Genomic DNA, 24,634 nt, shown 5'->3' on the forward strand with positions numbered 1-24,634 from the left:
AATTAAACCAGATCAAACAAAACAAAAAAGATTTCGGGGCACAATCTTTGTGTTATCAGAAAACTCTAAAGACTTTTAAAAAGGCAAAGACTCATAACGAAGAGACCAAGAGAACATATGAGCTATTACAGAATATTGGATTAAAATGTACTTACCCAGGACTCTCAAATATCATACATCTCCATTATGTAGGCTTTAGGCACCAAGCCAATGGCTCCCTTCATTTCTCCTACCCACCAGCCATATCTATTGTATTCCTAATTGAAAACAATATGCAATATTAACCTTTAGACTGGTGTAAGTACAATGTCGTTTGTATGCAACTTCTTAGAAATGTTATTTCTATTTATAAAGTTAAAAGAGCTTGAGCTGCAAATGTAAACATTTTCATCTTTTTGTTTCTGGACACTTTAAAATGCTGTTAGGCAACGATTTAAATTAAGGTATAACACAAAGCCTGTTTATTATTGGGCACAGAACACAGAAACAATCACTCATGATGAAAACCTAGAAAATGAAACTACCTCAGGAAGCCTTCTCTCGGGGACACTCTCTCTCTCCACAGAGCCTGGGGATACCTTTCATGTGTAAGAGGCTATAGAAGGTTAAAGCCAGGATCCTTAAGCTATTATATTTGCCTTCAAGAAGCTTATCATCTAGCAAGGATAAAATAATTTTTTTTACAATAAACTACTTATTTCTTAAACTTATATGACCTAAAATGATTTAGAATGTTGATAGATGTGTGCCCCTTCTTAAGAAAATCTAATATACACACTTTAACAGATAAATTAGAGAATACGGAAACACTAATAATACCAAAAAACTGCTTAAAAAATAATTCACAAATAGGTTCCTTTAAAATAGTTTCCCTAAGGCATTTATTATTCCTTTATTATTGACCATAAACTACCTTAGATAAAGAATAGGTAGAAGGAATTTAAAGGTGCTGTTAGAGTCACCCTTATAGTGGAAGATCAATAGGAAATAAAAGTATCTCAAGGTATAAAGGCAAAATATTAATCTACCTCTAAAACAGAGTGGTCGATGAGTCACTTTTGCATTTACTTTGCAACTTGAGATAAACAAACCTATACCTCCTTTTCTCCCACTTTTTCCTCCTTTGACAGATACACCACTGCTTTAGGCATTGTGAATACTCCATAACCGGTCTCATATGTCTGCCAGATTGACTAATGTATTTTTATCTCAAATTTATTTATGTGTAGTGAGATACAAACAAAGTAAAATGAATTTCAAGTTTCAAGAATAATATCTTCCAAAAGCAATACTCTTCACAAGCATTGTAGTGCTCAAATTTAATTTTTCATATAAGATAAATTTTCAAAATCAATCCCAAAAGTAATTTAATAGGTTATGATTTTCCAGCATCTGAGTCATAGATAAATGTGCATATGTATATTGAGTTATATGTGGGGAGGGAATGTTAATACTAGTACAGACTTAATATTTGTATTGATTAGTATGCTATTGACCATCAGAAAGGAAAATTATGCAATTCTTTAATACAAATGTAGCATTACATTAGCGTGTATGTATTGATATGTAGTCTATCAATAGAGAGATTATAGGATAAAATCCATAGGCACTTTTTCAAACAGTGGGCAGTATCAGGATTAGGTTTATTGGAAGAACAAAGTGGAGGGGGAGAGGGGAGAAAAGACCACTCCTGCTATTGTTATTCTATTGAGGGCACAGCTCTGGCTTGTGAGGCAGTAAACTCAAGATTTTAAGTTTTAAACTTTTAAAGTTCATTGATAGTGTGAACTTAGTGGACGAAGCTGTATAAGGAACGAGGATACTCTGATGCCCAGAACCCAATGATGGCTATAATCTATGTAGGACATATTTATCAGAAGAAAATACTAACTTACTGAAAGTCATGATTAGCAACGATTATATCTTAATAGGTACCTAATAAAACTACCCTTTTCTATTTTTAAGGCAATGAATACAATTAAAGCCTAATGCTTAAAAAAACACACGTACTTAACGTTCCACAGACTACTGTAAGATTTCAAAGTGGATAATTAACAGGGTAGGTCTGAGTGTTAAAGCTCTTATTCAATGCCAATATAAGATTTTTGAAACTGATTATTTGGAATGAGAAAAGGAACTAGCCCCCTGCTCCCCAGTGACAGACATAGAAAACATTCAGTGAGAAGACATATTATTGGCATAAACTTGCTTCCAGAGAATGGCCCTCAATCTGGGGGTCAATGCTTAGATTCAAATTACAAGACAGAAAGTTATTACTTTATAATATTCTACTTTGGTCATAGTCTATGCTATCAACTAAAGGCATGTTATCATTTTCAAAAAGTTACTCACACCCAAATTTAAGAAATTAGTTCCCAAGAAATCACATCAACAAGGGCAGACTTCACAGTTGAGAGAATTCTGTGCTATGGTAGAACAGGAAGATTTATTAACTAGAAAGCATAGTGGTAAACAGCAGGGAGGAGCTTAATCAACTATAAACAAATCCCTTAAAAGTTATACTCTAGGGAGAAAAAAGGTTTAGACTAAAATAATCTTAAATGCTTCACTTAATTTAAAATAATTGAAAAACATAGGAAACATACACTTGATAAAAATACTCTAAAATATCAGATTTAAATCAGAAAAGGTAAAACTAAAAACCAGAATATTACCTTATATTTGTAAAGAATTGCAAATTATATTCCTGTTTGAAATTAATGCATTATGATCAAATATAGTGAGGTAAAAATACAGGAGGCAAATTTATGGATTTACACTGCAGCCATTAGAGTGTTGACAAGACTGCAAATACAGGAGCTTTTTACTTTTATCATTACTATTCTCTGTATGAGCCTCCTGAGCAACATGAATCCCAATTAAACCATTTGCAGCCTATAAATTGGAATGAAAATGCTTCTTGGAGTACAGTATTCTAAACTTTGGCCTGAACATTCAATATTGTACAAGGTTTCCTTCTGAAAAAGAAAATCTGCCTGTCTATGCCTTTCCTCTTTTCCACCCCCAAACAAATGTGATTATGAATGATATATTACTTACAGTGGAAAATAATGCAACTGATACAATGTTGTTTTGCAGTCCACAAACTAATTATAGTATTGTTCTATAAAGTCACAAGTGGATCATTTAAAAAACAAAAAGGAAAACTCTCAAACTTTATCTTCTTAGCAAACAAAAAATAGACAATCCATACCAGGCTGTTGTCTAAATCTTTGAAATGTTAGGAAGCATCATGTAATCTTTATGGAACACAAGGTTTCAGGTACAAGGAGGTCTGCCATCTGGTATCCTTCACCTATTCAGCTCTTAACATCAGCTGAAATGCTAACATAGGCAAGTGACTGTACTTCAGGAGGACTGATAAAATAATGAAGAGTCCTTTAATCTACAGGAAACCATTCTAGTCAATTTATAAGAAATATTGCATCCCTTTGTAGGACGTGTAATTATTTTCTATTAATCATGTGCTATAAAGCTACATTATGCGGTTATTCTGTTATCACTAGAAAGAGGCCTGCAGTCAGCTTCTGACAATGTTAGGTAATTACTAACACAAAGCTGCTTTCTCCTCCTGCAGTAATGCTATCAAGATCCAGAGGTGTAGTGATGCTTATTGTATAAAAATAGTACTCAAAAGAAATTCAATATCTGCAAAATGGATGGCTTCAAGGCAAAATGTAGTGTGGCAATCAAAGAAGCAAAAAAAAGCCAAACTTGCCCAGTAATCCGAGAAAATAATAGTAAGGCGGTAGTGAATGCTTGTGATCTAACTCCCATGTTTTCAATTTTCATACCATTATAGTCATTTTATTTGTTTTATTTTGTAGTTGAAATTTTAGTCCCCAATTAATATTTATTGAGCAGTAAGAGTGACTGGGTAAGAAGGCAGGAAAAAGGACTAGTTATGATAAAGTGAAACAGAGACTTTATCCAACATAATAGTAATATTTACTCATTAACTAAATCTTCTTTCTCTGCTGGAATATTATTTTACACTTAAATAAGGCCCCAACATTTACTTAAATCTTTTTCAGCACCATGACTGTCATTTATCGAGTATGTTAATCCGCTTTCTGCGAATGATATGGTAAAAGAATGCTGACTTAACAGAAACCTGAAACATTAAAAGATTTAATAATGTACTAACCCTTTCAGAAATTAGTTACCGATGTGTTTGAAAGCAACAGGTGTTTGCAATGTTAAAAAAAATTTGTGTCCTTTTCCAAACATATATCTGTGCTTCAAAACACACCAGCCTTTTGTGAAAATGAAAGTAATTTTATTCACAAAACATAAAATACAGCAAGTTTAAGAACCAATGGACTTGACTGTTGTTTTCCAAGTATTCTTCATTGTGATATCTTTATTCATAAACACTGTAATACTATGAAAACTAGATACCTATTTAAAGTGTATAAATACTTTCATCAAGGCTACCTCTTTAGTCTCTTTTTTATTAACTCCGATTAGAAACTTTGTAAGAATCCTCTCATTTCTCATACATTCATTGTTTCAAAAGGTTATCTTTATAAATGCACAACAGGAACTGTACAACCTCGGCGTTTTACTATTACTATCTATACATTAACTACTTGAATCTTAGATTCCTAACCTGTTAAATGAGGAAACTGACACAATCTCTAAGGACCTCCATGATGTTTGAGCACCACCATTCAGGAACCTGATTGAAGACACTAAGTTCTCTAGTGGTGTACGGAGATCAATCTCATTACTTTGCAATTTACTTTGCAGGTGTGACTTTGAGTTCCTCTAATTCAAAGAATTACTGTTTTTCCTCCTTGCATTGTATACTCCATTTTTAAAGCAAGAGAGACAAAAACAAGGAAGCTGACAGTAAGAATTCTCATAAGAAATTTTAGTTTATATCCCTGAGTCATGCTATAGTTAATTCCAATTTCTACAAAGTTGACAGTTACAATACCATAGAGTAAAACCTGACATTCAGACTGGTGATTCGCAGATAATGTTAGGCAAAGAAGATCATGTCATGCTCAGTAGAGAGTGACTTTGGTATTCAGTGTATGGTATTTTACCTACATGACTCTATTAACTGTTCTCAGGTTCACCCATTCCACTTTATTCTCACTGGCACCACTAATTCAGGCCTTCATCACCTTGCCCTGGATTACTGCATTATCAATGGTGCCTCTCTGTTCTTCCCGGGAACTCTTTTCATCAGTTTACCCTGCTGCTCAAAAACTTACACTAACTCTCCACTGCATTAACTGTAGACTTTAGCTTGTTCCCACCCTGCTGGCAACCTTTTCCTGTCACTGTTCTAGCTGGCACAATACAACCTGCCGCACTACACTCATTCTACCTCTGTATGTAGTGCTTCCTTCCCAGAGACATCTCCTCTCCCTCAGCCAAATCCTGTCCAATGACTAAGACCTGACTCAGCTGTCATGATTTTTTCTCTGAATTAGCTAATCCATATTTATATCTCTCATTTCAAGCTAAGCATTTATTCCTCAGTAGATTTTACGTACATTAGTTTTATTCCTTCAACTAAAATAAAGTACAAACTCATTAAGATCAGAGGAAGGACTTACACTTAATCTGTATGCCTCCCACTGCAGGAGATATAAAAGATGTTCCATAAGTAGGTACTAGATGATTAAATAGACTAAGTCTTCATTTTGGATGATGCACCAGTTGACTATCCTAAATATTTTCTTAAGAAATGTAATTTCCAATAGTAATGTATTTTCTTTTGTGTATATTAGGCATAGTTAAAGAATTGTAGTAGTGACGAAACAAGCATTTGTTCTGAAGCATTCACATGTAGCTGAGTGGGCGATCTGAAGGAGCATGCTGTTCCCACCTGTGGCAGGCTGTTGCCACCATGTTTTCAAATGTACTACATGGGATGTGCCTTGTCTAAAAAGCTTAAATCCCATGTGCAGAAAGAAGGTATTTGTCCACATTGGAACAGGGACCAACTAATTCCAGTTCTTGGAAAAAATGAATTCAGTTTAACTTACTTGTAAGCACTGAAAGAAGTTAAGACAGAATTTTGCAAAGGCAAAAAATAGTATGACAGGTAGAATGGAAAATCTCCTGGTTTTTTCAGCTCCTTATCTTTTTTGTTTATATTTATATTCTTCATTGAGACTCTACAATAGTGCACTTAGGTACTTAATATATATCAATAAGTCTAATTATTATACATTTGGACCCTCACAGAATTCCCTTTATAAAATCTTTTATTATATTTACTATGAAAAGTTTTTGTTGAGGCCAATACCTGCCACTTATGCACTTATTTATGTAAAGTTGTTGAGGCCAGATATTCAGGGCAGAGTCTAGAAATTCATGTAAGAATATTTAAGTAGCCAGTGCTGGGAAAAGCCAAGATCCTTCCTTTATGATTAAAAGAAATTACTAGCTCCCATCTCTCCCTTTTTTGGTTTGGCTGCCAAGAAGTTCAGGGCCAAGGTGGAAGTACAACCTCAGAAACACCATTGTCTTTGGAGGTCTCTGTAGGAGTGGTCCATTTTTCCTTTGGGCTTTTATTTCTTTTTCCCTTATTATGTTGAGCCTCGATTTCTTTACCTATAAAGTGAAGGGCTAGCACTAAGGTCCCCCTCACTCTATGATCCTATCATTCTAAGTTCTTTTAAGAAGTCAGGATTATTTCCTGTTGTTAACTGTATTTTGGTAAAAGCATAGTAAACATCTATCTGCCATACTGTTAACATATTGGGATACAAAAATATTTAAGACACAGTGTCTACCTCAAGAAGTTCAAAGTTTAGACAGAAAGCCAGAGAAACAGGTAATCATTATATTGAATGTTAGGTAAGAGAGGGAAAAAGTTTGTAAAAAGAGAAGCAACTAATCCTACAGCAGGATCTGAGAGACTTTACATAGAAAGTGACAGCTGGGCTGAGACTCCAGAAGGAATAATGAAAGGAGCAATACATGGCAGGCGTGAAGGCCTGCAGAGATAAAAGAATGTGCTGTGTTCAGTGAAGAGTAAGTAGTTGAGAGTGTGGTTAACACACAAGGTACAGGCGAAGATAAGGGAAAAGTGGTGTAAGCTGCTGTAGAAAAACTAGCTTGGAAACATCAGGTTGATTTGGTTTCTCACAGGGTTTCTCTGGCTGCCTACCATTCTCCAAGGTAAGGAAAGAGAAGTGATGGCTCATGCCTGTAATCCCAGCACTTTGGGAGGCCGAGGCGGGAGGATCACCTGAAGTCAGGAGTTCAAGACCAGCCTGGCCAACATGGTGAAACCCTATGTCTACTAAAAATACAAAAAATTAGCCGGGCATGGTGGCAGGAGCCTGTAATCCCAGCTACTTGGGAGGCTGAGGCAGGAGAAATGCTTGAACCCGGGAGGCAGAGGTTGCAGTGAGCTGAAATTGCATCACTGCACCCCAGCCTGGGTGACAGAGCAAGACTCTGTCTCAATAAAAAAAAAAAAAAAAAAAAAGAAGTGATCCTGAATGACTGATGTCTATTGGCTCTATGCTCCCCTTTCATCAATATAGCCATCCACCCCTTTCCATAGCACAGCCGTTCTTCTAGGTTTTATATGTAATAGACACAGAAAATAAGCATTCATATTTGTTAAATGAATAAACTCCATTTATACATAAAGTTCCAGTTCAAGTTCCATTTCCTATGAATCTTTCATTACTTACTTACTCCAGTATTTACTGACTTCCCTTTCTTCTGGGATTCTCCAGGACTACAACACTGATACCCTACATTGTGTTTTATTGCTATTATCTATTTTATGCATTGGTCTTCTCTTCGACTTAATTGCAGTCTCCTTGAATAACAGTTTGTGGCTTTTCTGGATCCTGCTCAAAATAGTACTTTGCATGAGTGTTCACCAAATATTTGTTGATTAGAAAATGAAATAATTTTGACCATCTATACAAGATTTAATTATGTAAAAGATACTGTCAATAACATGGTTCGCTGTTGTTTAGAACTGGGATGTGATAATTACAATTAACCTCTGATATAGAAGAAAAGTTAAAGTCCTAATCAAGTCCCACTTAACCGTAGCAAAGTAGAAAGAGAAAAGGCTTTAGGGTCAGACCTGTATTGATACCTGGAGAAGGCACTTAATAGCTGCGTATCCTCAGATAATTTCCATAATAACCTTACTGCACATCAGTTTCCTAATCTGTAAAATTATAACATCATCTACTTCACAGGGTTATTATATTAATTATATGTGTGAAAGCATATTAAGTACCTAGAACAGGACATTGTAAATGCTCAATAAACACTTTTTCATTCCCTCCCCCACTCCCTGCCCACTAATTGGTATAGCAAAGTATTATGGCAACAACAAAAAAACAGAGTACTTTGGGACGCACTATAAGGCAATCTGATTATTATGAGCAGGTCTCCACCCTGCTCTTCCAAAGAGAATCTTATCTTCTCCCAAAGAGAACAAGTATTTGAGGAATATAACATTTTATTACAATTTTAACTGGTTGTTCTTTTTTTTTTTTTTTTTGAGATGGAGTCATGCTCTGTCACCAGGCTGGAGTGCAGTGGTACAATCTCAGCTCACTGCAACCTCTACTTCCCGGGTTCAAGTGATTCTCCTGCCTCAGCTTCCCAAGTAGCTGGGACTACAGGTGCGCACCACCACGCCCAGGTAATTTTTCTATTTTTAGTAGAGACGGGGTTTCACCATGTTGGCCAGGTTGGTCTCGAACTCCTGACTTCAAGTGATCCTCCTGCCTCGGCCTCCCAAAGTGCTGGGATTACAGGAGTGAGCCACAATACCTGGCATGCTGGTTGTTCCTTGATAGCTGAATACTCAATGAACATCTGTCACTTATCTATAATTTACTAAATATCGACTCTAAAACTTTTCTTAATCAGTAGTCTATCTCTAGTCTCTATGCCTAATGATTTCCCTGGAATATCTAGCTCCATGTTCTAAAGGGATGAGGAAGAAGACATCTCAAAAGAGTGAAAGTATGCTATACACACTGAGGGAGTTCCTCATTTTCAAGGCTGAAATCATGAATTGTTCAACTGAGAATTAAAAAAAATATCAACGTAGTGCTTTTCTTTAAGGTTTTGTTTTGCTGCTGCCAAACTCTTAGTTATTCATGCTGAAGTAAATCACATAGGCCTTACAGGTGGGCTCCTTTCCAAAGCAGCCCCCTCCACTGCCACCTCTGCTCACCTTGCCTCTCTGACACTGCCTTCTGGCTTTTCCTCTACCTGTCAGGCCATTGCAAGGGCTGCAGCTGCCAGCCTGCCTCCTATAAGCACCTTTTGCTTTCATCTGCCAACATTTTTCTGGAATGTTTCCTCCAATTTATGTAAGAGAAAGTAGGGAAGTACTTAAGCATATTGTTCACAAACAGATAACAAGAGGAGTCCTATGAGTAGAACTAGAACATTTTCTGACATGGTGTTGTGTCCATAAACTGCTTTTCACTCCTAGGAGGAGATGGGTACTAAATAGGAGGTTGGCCTGGTTAATGCTTCCAGTGTACTCTAGACCATACATCCATACTGACAGCATACAAACTAAATGTCATCGGAGCAAACAAATGCAAGCACAAATACAAACACTTCTTCTTATCAAAAGGCTATAAAATATAACATTTTGGAGCTAGCTTAGTGTCAACAATGCATGTCCCACATTCAGATATCCTAGTTACTCTGCAGCAGTTGGCCACGCTATTTGTGGCATACTGGGTCATACGGTTACAAATGAAAAACTAAGACAGCTAAAAAGTAACTTATTTCCCTCTGCCAATAAAGCTCAACAAGACTTTCATTTCATTTATTAACATAGGTTTGAAGCCAAAAAAAGCCATAGTAACTTAACCTTTACATTCTTACAATGAGAAGCAAATGGTCAATGACAGTCACAATTCACCAATCACTGGAAAAAGTCAACCAAACAGATATAAAGGGAGGTACTGCTTGAAACTCCAACCAATATACACCAAAAAGTACCCTTTTATTTTATATTGGTGACCACAGTCTTAACCTACATTTCCTGTGTTTGACTTAATAAAAAGTTTCTCAAAGGCTGCAAAGCTAGTCGCATATGCCCTAGACTAGATAAAATATTCCAGAATTCTTAACTCTCATTTTTCTTTTAATATCAAAGTACTGTGCCTCTTTTCTGAAGTATAGCTTGTCTGTTATTAAATCTCTAAAAATAGTTTATTGCTTTAAAAGTAAGTATAGCAATGTGGTTTGCAAATTAATGATGAGTACAGATTGAAAGATAAACTAATAGAGGATAGAAATCCAGAAGAGCAAGATAGAATAACATAACCAAAAAGGCATTTGGGACCTCAGAATATACCTATTGCTATATAATCTGGATCCTGCTATTAAAATGATAAAATTTCAAAAACATGGTTCTAGGAAAATACTGTTAGCTATAATATTATGTTCCTGTTTTATTTAGTGGTAATAAAAATGAAATGAAAACTAACAAAAATATTTAGCATTATTTTAAACAACCCAATTTCTTAAGGAAATACAGGTTTTCTATCTCAAATATGATTTTCCCCCATCAAATGAATCTGAAACCAATTGTTAATTCACTAACAATACAACTGTCATTAAAATCACAAATTCTGCTTTCATCAGTCATTATAAATTTGATCCATTTTTTAAGAGAAAAAAGAGATTTCCAAATCTCCACTGAACTACTGAAGCTTTTAATTTTAACACATAAAAAAACAGCAGCAACCCTATGTGAATAGAAGTATAAAGCAAAAAGTACTGGCTTGCCTTTTAAGGCAGGCGGTGTTTAGATTTATTATTAGTGAGGTTCAAAGGTGAAACCTAAGGAAATGCTGGACACTTTGAAGGAGGGGCTATCTCAGCCAGGGGTCACATGATAGCTGCTAATTGGAAAATGTTAAAAAGGGAAGGAGGAAGGGCACAGTATCTGCCTACTCTTCTTTCTTTATTGCAACATTTGATTTGCACCAGAAGAAAAAAAAAAATAAAGGCTTAGATTTGTATAACTTTCAAAAGAGGCCTAAAATAAATAAATCACCCCCAGGTTGACTGAGCACAGCTAACATTCCATCAAGGCTTTCTTGCAAAACAGAAAATAATATATTGAATTTTTAAATAAAACTATATTTCTGTAGTGATTTTTAAATGAAAACAACCTAATCCCCAAGCTAGTTAAATGTTTTTCTGCCATTACATTTACAAAATTAAAACACTTGCCGGGTGCAGTGGCTCATGCCTCTAATCCCAGCACTTTGGGAGGCCGAGGCGGGCAGATCACCTGAGGTCAGGAGTTCGAGACCAGCCTGACCAGAGAACAGTGAAACCCCATCTCTACTAAAAATGCAAAAATTAGCTGGGTGTGGTGGCACACTCTCAGCTACTTGGGAGGCTGAGGCAGGAGAATCGCTTAAACCTGGGAGGCAGCGGTTGCGGTGAGCCGAGATCGTGCCATTGCACTCCAGCCTGGGCAACAGAGTGAGACTCCATCTCAAAACAAACAAACAAACAAAAAACAAAATTAAAACACTCTTCATTATAATGCATGGGATTTTATTTCTTGTTTTGCCTAAATGTTTATTTATATTGAAAGTATGCATCTTTTCTTAAACTATTTTATGTTGCCTTTTTAAAGAATATTTTCAGAACTGACACACTTTTAGAAGGTAAATCAAACAGTGATAATTTGGTATTTCAAATTATAAATGAGTCCATTACTAAAAGAAAGCTGCATATCTTTAAAATCTTTTAAATGGTCTTATTTATTATTAACAGACAAGTCATGGCATTAATTTCTTTACAAAGTACACATTTCCTGTATCTCTACAAATACTATTTTAGAATCCTTAAAATGTATTCTTCCTTATATATACAATTTCTATATTTAATTCAGAATGATGAACAAAGTTTTTCATGATTAATGCTAATATTTTATTGACATGGAATAGGAAAGTAATAACCCATAGCTGGATTTAAAGTTGAATTTATGACACCATTTTGATTGTGTACAACAGCTGCAATTACCTGCACCACTCATTCTGAGCCACTAGATGGCGTAAAAAAAAACAGAAAGGTAAAATTTCATCCCATCACCACAAAATCTTAATATAACTCTGAGAAACTCAATTAAACACACTGCGAGGCACCTAAAAATGCTAGTGGTTTCTATACTAATTGTACTTAATTTGTAATAATATCAAGCATTCAAAATTGCAGTTATTCACATATTAAATGAATTTATGGTATTAACTTACAGTCTGAGTTTGCCAAAGTTTCAATAAAACTGGAAGGCCAAGTCAATAAAGACTACTAGAAAGTCTCAAGAGATTCCTAGCTGAATTTGTCTGAAGGAAGGTAAGGAAGTAAGTCTTCAAAGACAAACATATACTCAACCCAAAGCAACCTGTCTACTCGCAGCCAAGACACCCATCAATAGCCCAGAATATGTCCAAATCTCATCAAGGAAAGCTAAATGTCTTCTCCTTTTTATCCTCACCAAGATTTACCAGGTTGATTCCACTAGGTCCACAGCTGAGTAACGATGAACACTGAACCTTATTCAGCCAAAGGTAATAACATGCTGGCGAACAGGGTCTTCTTTCTTGGCTCTTTTTTCAAACTCCAAAATGAACCCCAGGTAAATTACACATCTCTAGAAGGCCCTTAATAAATATGATCATGATGGTGAAACTTCAAGCCTTGCAAAACACTGGCAGAGGAAGTACTTTCGATCAGCTCTCTCCCAAATAATAGCATTTAAAAATGTTAGATGGAAGTATGTGCTTCCCATGGGCTGGAACACCTTTAACCTTTGTTCTCTAATCAGGCTTCACAAATAAAATTAGTCTCCACAAAACAGGAACTGCCTCCTTCGGAATCCTAAAAGTATGATACACACCTATGATTATACTTTTAATTTCATGTTAACTGAAAATTATTTCCTGAGGCAACAGTAGAAACAAGAGATGCCTATGGTGGCTTGTTTCACAGCCAGTTCTGGAAGCCGGTGCTCTACCCAGGCTTTCAGCAACAAAGACAACCTGATTCATAAAGAGGGTTTTACAAATAGATCCACATGGGCTTTATAAATTTCATATTTACAAAAGGAGTATAATAGCTATATGCCACTCACTCCTATAATCTGAACTTGCAAGTGAAATCTAATCAACGTTTTAGTTTTATACACAATTGCAGCTAAATTGGTTTTAAAAAGACTGTGAGCTATATAAATTTAGGAATGATTCCAAGAAAGTTTCTTGACAGGAGCTGAAACTAATCAGTTTGATTTCTTTATTAAGTAGTTAACCAAAAAGCTGTTATCTTAACTCAGGACAATTTAATGCTTAATAACAGGCTTAATCAAGAGTTGTGATGTGACTATCTATAGCGTCCAAGAACTTAAAACATCTTTCTGGGAACAACAGTAACAAAAACCCATGCTAATGAGCAGAAGACTGAGAGAAATAAGTGACCAGCCTTAGCTTTGGGCACCCTAACTAGCAATTATCACAGTTGGCTTTATTTATTTTATCACAGTTGTCAGAGTGGGTCCTGGCACACTGCAGGTGCTTTATGATGGATGGATGGAAGGAAGGAAGGAAGGAAGGAAGGAAGGAAAGAAGGAGCACAGGAAAGAAAACAAAGGGAAAAGCACTGGTCTGGGAGTCAAGACACAGCTCAAATCATGACTCTGGCATTTTCTTGACCCAAGTTCCTTTATCTATAAAACCAAGAATTAGATTATCATCATTGAGACTCATCACTCTAATGTTCGATGATTCTCTGTGTTATGATTTTATGCACCAGCCATCTACTGTTAAAATTCAGTATGTGGCCTTCTTTCCAAATTGTCTTCTGCCTCTAACAAGTCATACTATCTCTCTGAAAAGTCCAAAATATTTCTCTAATCAAGAAAGAAACCACATCAACCTCCTAGACTTATGATTTAACATTTTTCTACTTATATTTCAACTGTTTTCCTACATCATTTGTTTCTAAAGTAGTCTTGTAAGTAGACAGAGGGAAATTTTTAAATCCCCATATTACGATAGGGGAAATTAAAATATGAAAATTAAGGGAGCTCACATACATTACCAAAAGTATAATCACAATAAGAAACTTGACTTTTAGATCTAAGGACAAAAAGATTCTGAATAATCCAGTATTTTAAGAAGCAGACACAAGAATTTATGTATATACACACACACATATACATATATATATATGAAGATGGGTTTATAGAATTATACTTTGCCATTTTGTTTACAAATATAGTATGCTAAACAACTTAAAAAATTACCTAAGCCTGTCTGAATAGAAAAGCATTGCTTTTAAATTGCCGGAACACCCAACATATTTACATAAAGATGAAAAACTTGTTCTATAAACATAGTGTTTCCAGTAGTGAATGGCAGACAAAATCAGAATAAGCACACAGAAGAATAAAAAGGAAGAGGAAAGAAAAGCATAATAAATAATCTAATACCTTACAATGTTAACTTTCACATAAGTATATTGTTTCTGGAGAAGGCAGTAGGTGGATGTCAGCCAAGGGCTGAAGTGATAGGTAAACACACTGTTAAGTTGAATCCTGTTATCTGATTGTGTTTAAAATTTGATTACATTTCACTTGACAAAATAATTAATTATTGTGAACTCCCAATTGTTAACAAGGACCTAGAAGAATTCCAATTGGCATTCTTCCCTAGCTCTGTAAATCCAAATGCATTAAAAATCGAGCTTTGTATTCCCTCTTTACAAACGTCATTTTGGGGTATCTTCTTACCTTGCTAAGAATGTAAATCACATCACCACGCTTAAATGACAACTCATCAGAAAAAGCTCCAGTACAATCCCACAATCCCTGGTAAAAATTAGCATAATCAGTGCTCTTATCCCCTAGGAAGAAGAAAGAGAAAGCATGAATTAGGGCCTTCATGTAATAACCCCTCATTTCAAAATTAACCAGTAGAAATTAAATGATGCCCTAGATCACTAAAATAGTCTAAAAAAATTATGTCCTGAGTAAACGAATACTTTATTACATTCACATGAATCCTACGTCTCACTATCCTCTTAAGACCGCTTTCAAAAAGATCTGATTTTGAATTTCTGCTTTTCTTTTTCTGCCTTTCATCTAAAATCTGTAATTGCTATATGCTGTCATCAAACCAGCACCTAAAAGTTGCTTCCCACTTATTTTAAATAACAAACCTAAGCCCACTTGCAACATGTTTTGAAGATGTGTCTGCCACACTTCACAATGAGCAATATCCATGAGATGTGACACACACTTTGTGAAATAACCATCTCACAGAATTTGGGACACTTCATGAAAATAATAATAGTAAAGGAGCTAATGTACAAATATAAAACCAAAACTAAGGAACCAAAATTAAAAAAAAAATACTAAACCCTAGAGCTGGTTAATGAAAGACAACAACGTGGAAACGGTATAAAGAGTAATTGCAGCAATTTTCTTTAGGGACATTTGTACCCAAAGCCAAAGTTATCTTTGAAAATTTTTAGCAACTTTGAAATTGCCAGTGTTGAAGCTGCATTTTTCAACCGATTTTTGTCAGCCCCGGTTTAGGACATTAGGCTCTAAATAAACATGCAACATACACTGGAGTATCAGCTCATCCTTCTAACAGCATAAGCACAATGGATGTGATGTGCTCAAACTGCCATACAGACCATTAACTGATTGATTATTTAGCACTTTCCACTCTGTAAGACCACAATAAATGGGTAATAAATGCTTTGTCACTTATACAGTGCAGATCTCCTGAAACACGGAACACAGCTAAACACACTAGACGCTTTTGTTACACTAAGAACTGTTTCCTGTTTTCAATTTCATGATAATTGAGTTTTGATGAGTTAACACAAAAAGAATGCAAGTAATATCAATAAGATGTCCGTGTGTTCACTAGCCAGGCAGAATATATACGTGCTAACAACTTCCATCACTGGAATGTCATCTTTGAATTCTGAGGGGATAACTGTGGAGACACAGGCTGGACCAGGGTTGTCATCTCAGTATTGTTACATGGCTCTCAAACAGCAGGCTTTTTGGTGATTCCAACACAACTAGTCAGATTAGCATGTCATTAGGGTGTTCATCTTATTACACATTTTTTGTGATTTATACAAAGTGTTAGGTTTACTAGAAAATTTTAAAATTCTCTTTAATATAAGAAATATTTTAAAGCCAAAAAAAAGAGAATCTGAATAATATGGAGTCTGAATATTTAGCAAATAGAATGCTACTTTTTGCTTATAAGAAAATAAAGATGGACTAGAAAATATACAACCTAGTAAAATCCCTCTATTAAATTTTGTCTCTTGTTTTCTAAGAATTAAAAAAACAAGGGACAATGGGAGTGGAGAGAGAAGGAGGAAGAGAAAGGAGGAGGCAGTGGGAGAGACAGATACCTTATTGACTTCTCCACACTAGCATCTGAGCACTCATCACGTACCTGCAGGGATGTACACAAGGTTGGGAATCCAACCAAGAACTAACAATGCTTGTGGCCACTCTTCATTACATTTTTTTCCCCAAAGCATATATTAAGTAAATTATAAAAATGGACACTAGAGGGCACTGCAGCTGGCCAGATCACTTCAAACATTGTCAATTTTAAAAGAAAAAAATCACTTAATAATAAAGTGACTGATTTCCTTTAAAAACCACTTATTTAGACAAATAGAGATTTAGAAGTTGAAACATTCTAGTCAGATTAAATCAATTGGTAAATGGGTCAAATGTTGTGCCCCTTGCAGTCTGTCAGTGTCAGTTTAAAAGTCAGGGAATTAGAGCAAAGAGAGGATGACATCATTTCACATGCAAGGCCTTCCCCCACAGTAACATGCGAGGCCCTCCCCCACAGTAACTGGCCAGGAGGTAAAAGGATCTAAATGGCTGGTTTCTTTAGTCTGCGTTCCCCATGCTGCTCAGCCTTAGGCTTGCTCCAAAAAAGTGGAAGAAACAAAACTTGGACTAAAAACTAGAGTAGAGGTTTTGGCTTAGCTATGTTGTCCCATTGCGTTCCCCAGCTGTCCAGGCTGCTCTTCCTTTTTTTCAGATTCTCTTACAATAGTTTTTATTCAATAGATTCTCAAAGGGGAGGGGAGAGAAAGAAGGAAAAGAAAAGTATATGGTGATTTCTAACACATAATCCTTATCACTTTGGGGTCTCTCTTCCCCTCGATACGCTTGCTGAAACTCCCATTAACACTAATGGGAGTTACAGGAGCACATGAGGGGAAGAGAGACCCCCACCGTGTGCAAGATGCATCTCTCCCTAGATGTGCATCATGAGCATTTCATTAAATCTCACTGCTGTAAAGAGGCAACAGAGCTAGTGATTTGGCAATATGGGAAAAAGATGCATTTTCAACTGTGCTTTCTATAATCTTGATGATGATGTTACCCAAAGACCAACCTCATTTTTGTGTCCCGTATGAGAGCTCTGTTAAAGAATAATTTGTTTATGTCACACAGCTACATACATGTATGATTTACTAGTCTATCTATTTCAGCATGCAATACTAGCTATAAAGCAGAAAAAATCGTAAGTAGGGGGAAAAAAAACCCTGGCAGTATATGTTTATTAGCCTTAGTCTCAGGGAAGTAATGTTTGAATTCTTGATATGAAATCTGGACACAAAAATCAGGAAGAGTCTTGTTCCTTAAAGGGCAGCAATCTCCTCTAGCTTACTTTTTAAAATTTAAAGTGTAGCTAAACATACACAAAAAATTAAGCACCGACAGCCTCAAAAGCGCAGGTTTGCAAAAGTTAACACTGTTCACCCCTAAACACTGAAAAATAATCCAGTTGAGATATGTATTTTTAAAGATGGGATGAGGCAAATATCATAAACATACATTTTAAAGCACAAATTAAGTATGTTTAGTTGGCTTTACTACATGGATTAATTTTCCTATTCTATCCACATCATGATCTATATTTTAAAAATTACAAAAAAAAACTACATTATGTTTCTTGTCCTGAGAAGCATGAATGATTAAAAAAAGGTAAGAAAGAAAAAAATTAATTAGCCAGCCTGTGAAAGATTAAAACAATGTTTTTACTCCTGCTTTTAAAAACATACAAGAAGAGATCATTGGGCAAAGCTAACAGAATTGTTATGAAACATGTAGACAGAGGAGATACTTTGCAAAGATGAAAAACATGATGACCACGGGTGAAACATATGAGAATAAGATAGTGGAGAATCTCTCCTTTGGTGTTAAAAGGTTTAAAAACTATTTTAGAAAGGTAAATATATTCTATAATGTTCAAAAAAAATCAAATGGAATCTTTATTTTATATATATACTCATCCACATATCTGCAAGATATATAAGTTTGAACATGAAGGAACTTGTAAGAAACACAAGATTAATTTTGTTTTTGCTTACATACTTTACATTAGAAAAGTCTGTGGTGGGGGGTTTAGTAAAATCAGTCAATGTGAAATATATATAACATTCTTGAGTAAGGTTAGAAGTTCATGTCATGTGATGCTCAGCAAGATAGTAATACCCTTGTCAACTCACTGCCCTGCATGGCAAACAAACTTCTAGTGTTACATCTTTGACAGCCTAGGGAAGAGCAAAGGTCACTTCTATGCAAAAGCATTAAAACTGTTGCTTGAAAAGAATTTCATGTCACTAAAGATAAGAATTATTGTAGTGTTTTATAGCCATTGCATGAAAGGCTAGATCTATTTGATGCATTCCTTTGAGGAAAACTGATTTTTTTTCCTACCCTCAAAGGCAAAAATTTGGGAGATGTTTACTTTAAAAGGGCTTTTGAAAAATACAATTGCTTTAAGCCAAAATATTTGTATCTGTGGAAGAACCATCTGTATGTATCCACTTTCTATACCTGCACTGAAATTTTCTTAAAAAGAAAACTACATATTTTTGGCAGAAGTTTCATGATACATAAACCGAAAACATATATACTTAAACTACTATTGAACATAGTCCTCAAGGTTTCACTAAGCCTCAGTGTTTTATAGCTTCATTTTATAGGACTAGAGTGCTAACATGTAAAGATTTTGTTCTCGCTTCCTTTCTGAAAAAACACTAACCAAAACCTTTTGTAGCAACCTACTTCTGCTTTCCTGTCCAGGTCTAGAATCAGGCCTCTGTTTCCTTTCCACATGTCACAGTAGGAAGGACTCTGGAAAGCTACTTCCTGAACACACACTTCTTGTCCACCCGGCCTTGACAGCTTGAAAGAGTGATGTATGGACATATCAGAGAGGGGAAGGTGACCCTAACTCTAGCTTTTTGCAAGACACAGAGATGATATGGCAGACCTTGCCCCAGCTGACATGTGGCTATGAAGAGGTGTAAAGTCCTGATAAGAAGGCAGTCTTTCTCTTCTTTCCGTGTAAAATAATTGCTGGTTTATCAAAACTAACCTCATGCTTGCACTACAGATATGGTTTATCTCCTGCTATTTGGAAATAACAACAAGCAAGAAAAGTTGTCCGTATCATGTGATTTTGTACAGAGTGTGTGCAATTATTTTTCCAGTCTCATTCATAATTAGTACTTGGGGATATGTGCCAAGTGGAAATGGATAAGGGGAACATCCTTCCTAGCCTTTTAGGCCACTAGTGTCCTTTTCCAATTTTTAAGCTGCTGTCACTGGACTCTGGCATTTCTTACCCAATTCATTTGCTTTCTGTGTTAATCATATGCAATGAAGATATGCATGGCCAACATTTAAACAGGCTGCAGATCAATTAGCAGTCTTAAGTTTATCTGATTTTTATCAAAGAAGACAGAGCTGTGGGTCGACTGTCAGAGCCTGTGTCAAGTTGACCTTTTCAGAGATGTCTACATTGCCAGTCCCCTGGGCAACTTGTTGTCCCCTGTTAGTCTCTGAATGGCAGAAGTCTGTTCTGCTCAAGCACAAAGTATACACAGATGTCTATATTACATTCTTATAGGTTTGACAGCAACTGCATGTTGTATCTATAAACTGTCCTTTAGCAGTGACACTTCCTCAATGATGATAAGCTAATTTATGCAACTAAATCTCCTTTGTGCAGAAATGAAAGCTAATTGAGTCATTACAAAGTAATTCAGGAAGGAATACCTTGTATAAATTGGCTTACTTTATAAATCCTTCTCAAGTGGTTTTCATGCATCCTAAATGGGACTAAGCAGCTTATCAGCCATAAGATATCCAAGCCAAAAATGCCAACTTTGGGGAGCTGTGTAAACATCTTTAGAACAGTAAGAACATGGATAAAATGAAAGTGAACAAAAGCAAAATAAGGTTTGCCAAGAAGCTACACAAGTCATTACCTGAGGTGTGATGGACACTATCCTGACTCATCTTCCTTTGTTCTTCCACTTTCACTGGAGCACTGTCCTCTTCTTCTTCTGTAAATAAACATTATCAATGGCACATTGAAGGGTTTTCTCAGGGATAACACTACAGTACTCACTCAATTTTAAAAGCAAAACTAAAAGTTTATAACACATAAACATTATTTTTCAAAGAATAAAATAACTCAAGATTCACAGTCCTTTTTCGACAATCTAACACTGAATAAATAAAATACTAGCTACTGCCAAATAGCAACCTTTCCAACTTTCCACATAGCAAACTTTCCAACTTTCCAATAAAATACTAGCTACTTCCAAATAGCAACCTTTCCAACTGGCTTGGCAAAATTTAAGATATGTACTAATGCACTGCATGTTTTGTTTTAAATACTTTTAGAAACTCATCTGGAACAATCTTAATTTCAGGAAAACCCTTAAATCCAGTAAAGTAACACCCAGCGTTATACTGATACACCACATTGTACTGTGTGGCAGGAGTATCATATATAAAATCATGGTCCCTAAAACATCATATAGCAAGGAGAAATGTGTGATTAAAAATGCAGTTAACCTATAAATCATTTTTTTGAGTATCACATAATTTCATACGTTTTCTCAATCTTCACAGGAAGATACTATAATGATCTTCATCCTTTGAGGTAATTCCCCCAAAATTATACCAAGGACCTATTATGTGTCATATACAATGCTGGATGTTAAAATCTCATAGACAAATAATTTTTAATCCTCATTCTACAGACAAGTTTATCTTTAGAGACTCAAAAAGGTGAAGTAACTTCCAAAGTGTGTCATTCGAACTTAAGTTTGTGATTATAAAGTCAATGTTCTTTATCCTACATATAATCAGTGCTCCATTTACATTTGTTCCACACTCACCTATACCATTCCTTCCCCAAATTATGCAAAGAAATAAGATAAAATTAAATGAGAAGAGCTTTAAATAGACTTAATAAACTAATTCATTTACACCAAGAAAAATATTTATTACATGATTTTTCCTCACCTAAGGATTTGCATACAAACCTAGAAATACTTAAGGCAGGACATATAAACAAATGGCATGCCAAAGAAAAACTGGATTCAAAGAGAATCATAATTTCAAGAAAACTCCTAAAACTTTAAAGAAAAATATGCAAAATATATAAATGTAGTCATTGTAACTATTCAATCAATCAGTCAATCAATCTTCATTGGATATTAACTAACTGTGAGACAGAAGAGATCTACCAAGGAGGTAAAAGTAACAGGAAGCCTCTGCTCACAGGAAGCTGACAGCACAGATGGGACAGAAGACAAGCTCTAAAGGAAAACAGGCTGAAGGGGCCTAAACCTGACAAGTGATGCACAAAGCACTGAAGAAGTGCAGCAGAGAAACCCCCCAACTAGGGAGTACCACGGAGGCTCCAAGGGATGGAGAGAGTTTAAATAAGGAGAGAGGATAAGAAGGATATTTCCGGAGGGATAGGTATGATCTTTAAAAGAAAAAGGCATGTTCATATTCATTTTGACTAAAGAATCTGGTACACATAGGGGAAGAGCTGGGTAGGAGTTACGCTCATAGTTTGGACCAGCTGTTGAGGGGCCATGAACATCTTGTTATGGACTGCAGGCTTTTATTTGGTGGGCAATAAGAGCCTTCGAAGGTTTTTTGAGCAGAGAAAGGGCAGGACTGAAGCTATGCTTCAGGAATGGACATCTGATCCCATTGTCTCAGACAGCCTAAAAAAGGGGCGGGAGAGAGACTACTGTGGATAAAGGGGAAGGAAGTCCTGAACTGAAGGGGCAAAGGAAATGGAAAGGAGATGGTTATAAGAGGTAAAGGAACTAGAATGGATAAGCTTTGTGCCTGAATGTGGAGGAATGAGGGGGGGGAAAAGAGCAACAAAGGATGGCTAAGGTTTTGAGCTTAGTTAACTGAGAAATGGACATATTATTACTAAAAGGAGGATAGCCAAAATAATCTATCTTACTGGGGAACACAAAGAGTTGTGTTTTCAACAGGAGGAATTTAATGTATTGGTGAGGCAACCCAGAGAACATGTCTGGGCAACTGCAAAGTATGGTAGAGCAGTCAGGACTACAGGTGGAAATTTAGGAGTCTCCTGAAAATGTTAAATGGGGATGAATCAAAATCAGCATTTCAACCAAGCTTGAGAGGGTAGCTGTACTTACACGACAAATAGAACTGTTCTGAATTTCTGTAACTCAATTCAAACAAAATAATGACAACTCCAATATAAGGGACACCTGAAAATATCTGGCATTTTATTCATATTGTTAAACATAACACTGACAATTTAATATGGTTCAGTCAAATATATAGAAGACCTAATAAAAGTATACCACTCTTTTAAAAAGTATCCTGTCTCTTTTCTTTTTAACAATAGTTATCTCACTTATGCCAAACCTTAAAGGCTAGCTTTAATAAATGGGTTAATAGGGTGTTTCCATATAAATTTTTAAAGGTAGAAGGAACGTTTACAGTCATTATTCCAACCTACTCATTTTATTGACAGATAATTTGGTAAAAGGTGAAGGAGAAAGCTTTCCTTACTTTTCACACTTTCTTTCCATAGCACCCACTCCCCTTTTAATTTAGTCACAAATTCAATAGTAAGAAATAAATTAAAAAATGGATAAAGGCACTCGTCCTCAGTCAAAAGCTATAACCGCATCAATACAATAAGTATTATTAGTGGCTTTTAAGAAGAGACTGTGGGGGCTGGGCATGGTCGGTCACGCCTGTAATCCCAGCACTTTGAGAGGCCCAGGCGGGTGGATCACCTGAGATCAGGAGTTCGAGACAAGCCTGGCCAACATGGCAAAACCACGTCTCTACTAAAAATACAAAAATTAGCATGGCATGGTGGCAGGCGCTTGTAATCTCAGCTACTCAGGAGACTGAGGAAGGAGAATCGCTTGAACCTGGGAGGCGGAGGTTGCAATGAGCTGAGATCGCGCCACTGCACTCCAGTCTGGGCGACAAGAGTGAAGCTCCATCTCAAAAAAAAAAAAAAAAAAAAAGAGACTGTGGGATTTAGATTTCACCACCCAAATCAGCATGAACATATAAAAATTCATTACAAGACTTAATGAAAAAACTCTGCTCTTTGACAAAGTTAACAATGAATTTAGAAGTATTTGTTACTATGAATTTTTTATTTTATTAAAACTTAAGTGCCAGTAACATGTGCTCTGGATTGTATATTGGTGTCAGAGAGCTTTGTTCTTAGAAATATGCACTCTTAAATTATCAGAATAATGATATTAAAAGTATTTACTTAAGAATTAATGTTTACTATAAAATATCCAAATTGAAATCCATGTAAGATGCCATTTAATAAGCAGATTTTAGAGGATGAGATGCTCATTAAGGACACTTCCTTTTTCCATTTTAAACCTGGTAGCGATATTTTTAAACCAAAGCTTTATGCATTTAATATATCAATTTTTCTTAACAATATTTAAACAACTCATTTTATCTTGGCTAACAATACAAATAGCTTCCATATAAAAGATAACAAAATCAAATATGGTGTATGTTTTTGAATCTTAGGCAGGGAAAAAAACCTCAGACTGAACCTTGAATAGAACTTGGCACAAAGGAGATGTTCGATAAATACAGAATAAACAAATGGATTAAAAAAATCATACAAATAAATCTTAACATATTCATTTATTAATAGAATAAAGCTCTTAAAAATATGTAAGAACAAGTGACCAAAATTCTAGGCAATAATCACCTTCACAATATATTAGAAATATATACATTCACATATTTTTTTATTTAGGTTTATTATTAAATATGTATTATTTTGGTGTTGAGGCACAATGTCATTGTACAATACTAATTAATACCTCAAGTAGTCAATGTTTGTGAGTTAATATATTCCATTCAACATTTTAATAACAGTAAACAAAAACAGCTCAGCTATGCAGTAAAATCCATCAAACCACACAGATGGTTATAAGGTTTTCATTATGTGGTTTCCATAGCAATCATATTGCAAACCTGGAAGCTTCTTGCAAATAAGCAGCTTGTATTTACATGCCTCTCAGCTGCAGCACAAAACTCTTCAACATGTGAAGTTATTATTCCAATCACACATTGTTAGAAGAATCATCAGGAGATTTTTTTTTTTTTTTTTGAACAGACAGGATGAAAGTAACAGTAAAGTGAGCTAAGTGCAGAAGAAAATTCAAACATAGTCACACATTTACTAAACTGATCAGTGAGAAC

The 24,634-nt window shown here is 35.6% G+C and overlaps 1 protein-coding gene across 4 annotated transcripts in view, besides 1 other annotated feature; it reads right to left on the reverse strand.

Annotated features, from left to right (window-relative positions):
* SKAP2 (src kinase associated phosphoprotein 2) overlaps positions 1 to 24,634 on the reverse strand; it is a 209,821-nt gene that overhangs the window by 15,166 nt on the left and 170,021 nt on the right. For all 4 annotated transcript variants that reach the window (XM_017012771.3, NM_003930.5, NM_001303468.2 and 1 more), the window contains 3 exons: positions 20,350 to 20,427; positions 14,801 to 14,913; positions 156 to 257 (listed from right to left, as the gene is read on the reverse strand). In XM_017012771.3, the coding sequence (XP_016868260.1) occupies positions 165 to 257; positions 14,801 to 14,913; positions 20,350 to 20,427 (284 nt within the window). In that variant the 3' untranslated portion in view covers positions 156 to 164. The remainder of the gene's footprint in view (positions 1 to 155; positions 258 to 14,800; positions 14,914 to 20,349; positions 20,428 to 24,634) is intronic.
* Positions 19,143 to 20,248: an enhancer, noted in NCBI's record as "VISTA enhancer hs296". NCBI's record gives its function as "enhancer in: hindbrain (rhombencephalon)[4/5]" and the evidence as "EXISTENCE:transgenic organism evidence [ECO:0001131][PMID:17130149]".

Source organism: Homo sapiens, chromosome 7, assembly GCF_000001405.40.
Source record: "Homo sapiens chromosome 7, GRCh38.p14 Primary Assembly".
Lineage (NCBI taxonomy): Eukaryota > Metazoa > Chordata > Mammalia > Primates > Hominidae > Homo > Homo sapiens.